At 46.0% G+C, this 7,918-nt stretch overlaps 1 protein-coding gene across 3 annotated transcripts in view, besides 4 other annotated features; it reads left to right on the top strand.

The window, feature by feature from the left end:
• Positions 2,769-3,369: an enhancer, noted in NCBI's record as "H3K4me1 hESC enhancer chr6:108280055-108280655 (GRCh37/hg19 assembly coordinates)". NCBI's record gives its function as "activates a minimal SCP1, AML or CMV promoter by ChIP-STARR-seq in naive H9 embryonic stem cells {active_cell/tissue: H9 hESC(naive)}" and the evidence as "EXISTENCE:reporter gene assay evidence [ECO:0000049][PMID:30033119]".
• Positions 3,810-4,349: a silencer, noted in NCBI's record as "silent region_17445". NCBI's record gives its function as "represses an Ori minimal core promoter by ATAC-STARR-seq in GM12878 lymphoblastoid cells {active_cell/tissue: GM12878}" and the evidence as "EXISTENCE:reporter gene assay evidence [ECO:0000049][PMID:35858748]".
• Positions 3,810-4,573: a biological region, named in NCBI's record as "H3K27ac hESC enhancer GRCh37_chr6:108278851-108279452".
• Positions 3,972-4,573: an enhancer, noted in NCBI's record as "H3K27ac hESC enhancer chr6:108278851-108279452 (GRCh37/hg19 assembly coordinates)". NCBI's record gives its function as "activates a minimal SCP1, AML or CMV promoter by ChIP-STARR-seq in primed H9 embryonic stem cells {active_cell/tissue: H9 hESC(primed)}" and the evidence as "EXISTENCE:reporter gene assay evidence [ECO:0000049][PMID:30033119]".
• Positions 4,012-7,918, top strand: part of SEC63 (SEC63 protein translocation regulator) — a 90,453-nt gene continuing 86,546 nt past the window's right edge. For 2 of the 3 annotated variants that reach the window (XM_047418131.1, NM_007214.5), the window contains exon 1: positions 4,012-4,334. Coding sequence is in view for 1 of the 3 variants with exons in the window: in NM_007214.5 (NP_009145.1) it covers positions 4,211-4,334 (124 nt within the window). In the remaining 2 variants the exon portion in view is untranslated. Of the gene's footprint in view, positions 4,335-4,956; positions 6,256-7,918 lie in introns of those variants that run through there. The other variant, XM_047418130.1, reaches the window with a different exon arrangement.

Below are 7,918 nucleotides of genomic sequence, written 5' to 3'. Positions count from 1 at the left end.
AGCCTGGCCAGCATGGTGAAACCCTTTCTCTGCTAAAAATACAAAAAACTAGCTGGGCGTGGTAGCAGGCACCTGTAATCCCAGCAACTTGGGAGGCTGAGGCAGGAGAATTGCTTGAACCCGGGAGGTGGAGGTTGCAGTGAGCCAAGATCGTGCCATTGCACTCCAGCCTGGGCAACAAGAGCAAAACTCCGTCTCAAAAAAAAAAAAAAAAAAAATTAGCCACGTGTGGTGGTGCATGCTTGTAGTCCCAGCTACTTGGGAGGCCGAGGCAGAAGAATTGCTTGAACCGGGGAGGCGAGGTTGCAGTGAGCCAAGATTGCGCCACTGCACTCCAGCCTGGGCTACAGAGGGATACTCTGTCTAAAAAAAAAAGGATGACTTACAAAGAAGGAAAGATTCACTCTAAGGAAAAAGCAAAGTATGAAAAGGAACCCCAAAATAGTCAGGCTTTCTACAGGGAAAATGTCTATCTAGCAATTAAAACAAAATTGATTAAAATATTCAATTACAGACATAAATACTAAAATGCCCAATGCCTTTTTTTTTTTTTTTTTTTTTGAGACATGGTCTTGCTGTGTCACCCAGGCTGGAGTGCAATGGCACGATCTTAGCTCACTGCAACCTTCACCTCCTGGGTTCAAGTGATTCTCCTGTCTCAGCCTTCTGAGTAGCTGGGATTACAGGCGCCTGCCACCACACCCAGCTAATTTTTGTATTTTTAGTAGAGACCGGGTTTCACCATGTTGGTCAGGCTGGTCTTTTACTCCTGGCCTCAAGTGATCTGCCTGCCTTGGCTTCCCAAAGTCCTGGGATTACAGGCCTAAATGCCTTTTAATATATGCTGTTAGACTAAAGACAAGTTTTGTCTGTAGCTTTGCTTCTTCCATATTTTTCTTTTTTTTGAGATGGAGTCTTGCTCTGTTGGCCAGGCTAGAGTGCAGTGGCATGATCTCGGCTCATTGCAACCTCTGCCTCCTGGGTTCAAGTGATTCTCCTGCCTCAGCCTCCCGAGTAGCTAGGCTTACAGGCACCACCACCATGCCCGGCTAATTTTTGTATTTTTAGTAGAGATAGGGTTTCACCATGTTGGCCAGGTTGGTCTTCAATGTGATCCATGGCACCCAGCCATATTAATTTACTTTTATTAAATATCTCACTAAAATAATTTCTTGAAACAATTTTATTAGGTTAAAAATATCTGCTGGGCATGGTGGCTAATGCCTGTAATCCCAGCACTTTGGGAGGCTGAGGTGGGCGGATCACCTGAGGTCAGGAGTTCGAGACCAGCCTGGCCAACTTGGTGAAACCCTGTCTCTACTAAAAATGCAAAACTTAGCCGGGTGTGGTGGTGCACGCCTGTAGTCCCAGCTACTCGGGAGGCTGAGGCATGAGAATCACTTGAACCTGGAGGCAGAGGCTGCAGTGAGCCAAGAATGCACCACTGCACTGCAGCCTGGGCAACAGAATGAGACCCTGTCTCAAAAAAAAAAAAAAAAGTGAATCAGAAATTGCGATTAAATTAATTAAAGGTATGATTAAGATTTGCTTTGGAGAATATTTGGGTGGTCTGAGGTTATCTATGTTCAGTAATATTAAGTTCTAGGATAAATTATATGTATACTTTTGAAAATAGAGGATACATTTTCAAATCTTGAACATGCTTTGGTTAAAAAAATAACATTTTAGATTGATCTGGGGTTTTTTCAAATTGCTATTTCAATTTGGTTCAAGCCACTTTTAGGCATGACCCCAAAGCTGCAGTGAAAATATTATTCCTGCAGAAAGAAAGAAGGGGAGTATTTATCATCAATAACTTATATTGCTACAAGGTTACAAAACTGATGTATTATCTTTAAACAAATGCCCAGCAAAACATAATAGGAGTAATAAAAAAACAGTTCAACATTATTAAAACCGAGGAAGACTTAATAACATATTCAACAAACAAAAGGAACTTCATGATCCTGCTCACTTCAGCTGCAACAAGTCTGTGACTAATTTTCTGTAGCAAGGCAAATTGTTCACTCTGGGTATATCAGCGTTGGGAGATCACAATGCTATGTTGATTTCATAGTTCAACCTTCCCTTCATTTCTTGGTTTTATTTTTTCACCTATAATATAGTTTTGAACTTTGTGCAGAAAAAAAGTGAGGAGGGAAATGCATAGAAATGAATTTCAGAAATTTCCTTTCAAAGTGAGTAGATAGGAAATTTGAAGGGAAGAGAGAATACATATGAACACAATCTATTATGAAGGAAAGCATTACTGATTAAGATACTAGTTTTGAAGACATGAAATGAAAGACAATGAGCAACCAGATTTTTCCTCCAACAATGGAAGGAATATTATAATGCATTTAGTTAACAGAGTATAAAGTATTAAAATGAGTCCTTGAAATATAGTGTAATATTTGGTATTTGCATATTACACTTTCTCCTTTGAAAAGCATTTTCACAATTAGTCCTTTCAATCTCTGCAACCAGGTGGGCTATCCTTTTAACCCAGAGAGGGGCAATGGACTCTGGGATAGACCCCAGCCACAGCTGCCGCTGGACCGTGGGGTCGTTCAAAGATCTGGGCAGAAGTCCAGTTTCCAGCTCAGCGGACACCAGCCTCTAGGGTCCCACAGCCAGGGGAAGGAGAGGCTCCCGAGAGCGACTGCTCCCGCCACCGTCCATCCCTGAAATGCAGTTTCCTGTTCACAACCCGCAGGGAGAATGCCAGTCACTGTCAGGAAATTTTAAGGTCCTGGGCGATGGAGGGTCAAGGGCACACTGGCTTTGTGGCATCAAAATGATATGGGTTTGAATCCTCAGACATTCTTTTACTGTGAGGGACCTTGGGCAGTCTCTCTGGGCCTCAATTTTCTCATTTGTAGAGCAGACATACTTTGCTTTATTCCATGGGGTTTACTGATGACTAAATGACACAAAACAATAAAGGTCTCAGCCTACCGCCTGAAGCTGGTGGTTATAATTAGCAGCTCTGGAATGGGTAGGGAACCATCTGTAACGGCTTGGGGAAATCTTCATCTGCAAGATGGGCACAGCGTAGATTCAAATCTGTCGCCCAGTGGAGAGCGATCCGGTCTCACTGCAACCTCCGCCTCCCGGGTTCAAGCGATTCTCCTGCCTCAGCCTCCTGAGTAGCTGGGATTACAGGCGCGTGCCACCACAGCCGGCTAGTTTTTGTATTTTTAGTAGAGACGCGGTTTCACCATGTTGGTTAGGCTGGTCTGGAACTCCTGACCTCATGATCCACCCGGTCTCCCAAAGTACTGGGATTACAGGCATGAGCCACTGCGCCCGGCCAGATAGTAAACATTGCTTTGAAAACACAACTGCAACCCACACCTCCCGCAACCCACACCTCCCCATCCCCCAATTTTTTTTTTTTTTGAGATGGAGGCGCGCGCCACCACGTCCGGCTAATTTTTGTATTTTTAGTAGAGAGTGGGTTTCACCATGTTGGTCAGGCTGGTCTCGAACTCCTGATCTCATGATCCGTCCGCCTCGGCCTCTCAAAGTGCTGGGATTACAGGCGTGAGCCACTGTGCCCGGCCTCCCACCCCCTATTCTAAATGACACTTGTTTCCAAAATATGGGGGCTGGAGGAGCAGATCCAGAACCCAAGGAAACGTGATCAACCAGGGCAATTAATCCAGAGGGCAGGACAGGCTGAGCCTCAGCTCTTCTCTGAATATCTGGGACCCCTGCGCAGCCAGGTGAACCGCCCGCGACCGCTGCTCCGGCGGGAAGCCTTCTCTGGGATCCTGTACGCCGACGCCCGGAATCCGGCGTGGTGCGCTGGGAAACTGAGCGGTGGAGGAAGGCGGAGCGGTTAGGGGCGGGACCCTAGGGGAGGGGTTGGGGGAGGGCTTTGACGTTAGGGCGGGGCTAAGGGCGAGACCTCGCCGAGTTCCACCGTTGCGCTCGCCACGTCTCCCTTAGCGAGCTCGCTGGGGACACGCAGGGGGAGGGAAAACTGAGCGGGGCGGGAACTATCTCCTCTCGCGAGAGCTGGCGACGGCGGCGGCAGCGGCAGAGGTGGCGGCGGCGTGTCCGTGAGAGTGGCGTGGGGGCGGGGAGGAGAGGCGGCGGCGGCAGTGTCCAAGCTACGCCACTCGGGCCGGGGCGTTGGGAGCGGGAGTGCAGAGCGTGGTCGTGGCGGCGGCGGTGAGAAGAGCGAGGCGGAGGAGGGGGTGCCATGGCCGGGCAGCAGTTCCAGTACGATGACAGTGGGAACACCTTCTTCTACTTCCTCACCTCCTTCGTGGGGCTCATCGTGATCCCGGCGACATACTACCTCTGGCCCCGAGATCAGAATGCCGGTGAGTCCCGCCGGCCTTTGCCCGCGAACCCGCGCAGGCCCCGCCAGCGCCCCCAGGCCCTGCGGCGCCCGCTTGCCCGGCCCCAGCCCGCGGCGTCCGGGATGACAGGGACGGTGCGGCCCGGCCTGTGTCCAGCGTCCGCCACTGGCGGGGCCCGGGTCAGCAGCGTTTCCCTCGGCGCTTCTCCACCTCCCTTCATTGTCCTCAGGAGTTTCGCTCGCTCCATCTTCTCCATTGTTGTGGACGCTCCTTGCAGCCTCCTCCTGCCTCTTTGTCTTCTCTGCCTTTGCTTTTATTGGGGATTTTTCTTTATGGAGGAAGCGGGATGGGGACTTGGGAGGTGAGCAAAGAGTTGGCCAAGAAGAGACTGAACGTGCGGGCACAACTCTCAGTCCGTCCAGTTCGCGGCCCTCATCCCCCGACTCCGGTTTCCCTGTTGCAGCTGCTCTTAACAGATGTTTTAGGGCATCTCTGAGCCGGGTGGCATGCTTAGGACTCCAATTGAGCTTTCCACCGCCTACCCCCGTCACTTCCTCCCGTTGCTTTTTCATTTGTTCACTCACTGTGGGGGTTGGAAGCAATGCCGTTATTCCTCTTAGCAAAAATAGGCTTTTTTCTATTTCCTTTTCTTCGGAGTTTCCTGTTTGTGACGGAAAAAGTGCAAGTATGAAGGATTAAGTCTCGTTTAATTAATCTTGTAGGGAATTTTGAGGTAGTGGGTCGATTTACTTTTGGTTCTAAGTCTTTTCACATTAAACAACATCGAATTAAAGCACAGAATAACAGATTCTTTTCATATTTCACTTGATGTTTGGGTAATGTTTGCATCCATTTGTTGCACTCTACTAGGACATATGGCAGATGGTATTCTTAAAGCTGATGTAACTGCGAGGGCCTAATGGGTTATTTATGGTAGTGTTAACAGTAAGGAGTGGGTTTTGAGTATTAACAACTTAGGGAAAGCTTTCTATTGCACAAGAGCTGTGCTAACTTGCTTAAATATCTTCTCTTCAATTGGGTGTGCTGGAGGTCTAGGTTGTCCAGGTTATATACTCTACTTGGAGAAGTTGTTAACAGTGAAGCCTTGAATCAGCTCAGAACTTGTTATACTTTCAGATGGATTCAGTGTCCTGTAACATTCTTTTTCCCCCCCGCCCCATGTGATCTGCAGGAAACTAACATTCTTGACTTGGAATAGAACTAAAATAAATTTAGGATAAATAGTAACAAAGGATTGCATCATTTTGTACGTTTGACAATAAGTTTAAAAATCCATTAGATGCAAAAATCTGTCCAAAGTTACTAGTCTTAATACTTTTTTTACTCAATGGGTAGTTTATGAAATTTGGATCTTGGACTGTTGTGCCTTATTTCCTAAGTGCATTTAAATTGTGTAGGTTCTTCCTCGATGTTGAAAAAGGAAAAAAAATTGGGTAGGTTCTTTGGGCAGTGATTGTGTATAAGTGAAGTCTTAATGCTGTAATGGCTTTTCTTATCTGCAAACCTAGGCCATTCTTGTGGTTGTTGTATTTCAAGTTAAAAGGGTACACTTTTCAGTAGTTTATTTTCACCTAACAGCCATTATGTGTGCAATTGGTAGTGTAGAAAACAAAAAGGTATTGGGAGAGTAGTCGGTGGGTTTGGCCAGAATGTGTTTTGATCAGGCAGAACAAAGGTATAAAAAAAAGTGTTTTGAGAAACTGCCCTGATTTCAGAAATTAGCCATCATTTTTTAATCTACATTGGATTTTTAAAGTTGTTCTTTTTTTCTTTTTAAAGCGGGGAGAGTCTCATTTACCCAGGCTGGTCTTGAACTTGCTTCAAGTCATCCTCCCGCTTCAGCCCCCCGAGTAGCTGGCCTTACAGACTTGAGCCACTGTGTCAGGATGGATTTTTGAAATTTGAAAGTCATATTTTCATGGTGAGTTTCGTATTATAAAATTCACCTGATTTCATAGAAGAATCATACTATTTATTTATTTATTTATTTATTTATTTATTTAGAGACAGAGTCTCACTCTGTTGCCCAGGATGGAGTGCAGTGGCTTGATCTTGACTCATTGCAGCCTCCACCTGCTGGGTTCAAGCAGTTCTGCCACAGCTTCCCCAGTAGCTGGGATTACAGGCGTGCACCACCAGGCTTGGCTTATTTTCGTGTTTTTAGTAAAGATGGGGTTTCACCATGTTGACCAGGCTGGTCTCCAACTCCTGACACCAAGTGATCTGCCCTCCTCGGGCTCCCAAAGTGCTGGGACTACAGGCATGAGCCACCACGCCCTGCCAACAAGTCATACTTGACCCCCTTCAGCATGTAAGTGTCTTTGAAAAAGTGGTGGTAGTTTAGGTGGAGGGAATTAATACTATTTGTAAATCATGGACTTCAACTTTTACTTTATTTAATCTTCTTAAAAATGCAGTGAGGTTGGCCGGGCATGGTGGCTCACGCCTGCCGTGGCTCACTTTGGGAGGCCCAGGCGGGCGGATCACCTAAAGTCAGGAGTTCAAGACCAGCCTGGCCAACATGGTGAAACCCCGTCTCTACAAAAATACAAAAAGTTAGCTGGGAGTGGTGGCGGACGCCTGTAATTCCAGCTACCCGGGAGGCTGAGGCAGGGAGAATTGCTTGAACCCGGGAGCTGGAGGTTGCAATGAGCCGAGATCGTGCCACCACACTCCAGCAATGCAGTGAGGTAGGTTCTATTATTATCTCCATTTACAGGTAAAGAAACTGAGGGTAGAGCATGTAAGTAATTTTCCTGTATGGTTGAACTGGGATTAGAACATTGGTCGCTTAGCTTCAGAGCCCTGTGTGGTTTCCATACTGCTAGATAGAAAGTTAGGTGAACTATTATGGGTGTCAGTTTGCCCGTTTTACATCCGGCTCTCTGCTTCAGGCTTGCCTTAGTCCATATGCATATTTTGATGTATTTGTTTGCTCTTGCTCAAAATTGTGTTATGAAAATTAAGGTGAATACTTAAATGCTATTCTAATCATTATGAAAATTGTTGGGCACCACTTGGACTTTTTTCTTGGATTTACCCTAATAACTTGAGTTGTTTCTGTGGAATTACAGTTGTAGTAAAAGGATGTTTTCATCATAGTGACTTTTTTTCTGCAGCCCAGTTGCAGTATCTTGAATATGAAAGAGAAATCTTGAATTACTGCCTCATTCAAAGCTCTGAATAAGGAACTTTTTTCAGAAGTTTGCTGCAAAATAATTTGCCGACTTGTACTGACAGGAGGCTACTGAATAATCTTTATCTCACTTAATAAATAGTTATGTTCTGTCTTGGAATATTAATTTGTTTGGTTATTGGTGCACTTTAGACCCCATAGGGTCTGTTTGAGTGTAAACGCTGTGTTACTTTTCTAAAATCTGAAAAATTCTTTTTTTTTTTTTTTGATTTTTTTTTTTTTTTTAATTGATCATTCTTGGGTGTTTCTCACAGAGGGGGATTTGGCAGGGTCATAGGACAATAGTGGAGGGAGGGTCAGCAGATAAACAAGTGAACAGAGGTCTCTGGTTTTCCTAGGCAGAGGACCCTGCGGCCTTCCGCAGTGTTTGTGTCCCTGGGTACTTGAG

This window comes from Homo sapiens, chromosome 6 (genome assembly GCF_000001405.40).
Source record: "Homo sapiens chromosome 6, GRCh38.p14 Primary Assembly".
Taxonomy (NCBI): Eukaryota; Metazoa; Chordata; class Mammalia; order Primates; family Hominidae; genus Homo; species Homo sapiens.
Note: the sequence above shows the minus strand (reverse complement) of the source record. Positions and strands in the feature narration are given on the sequence as shown.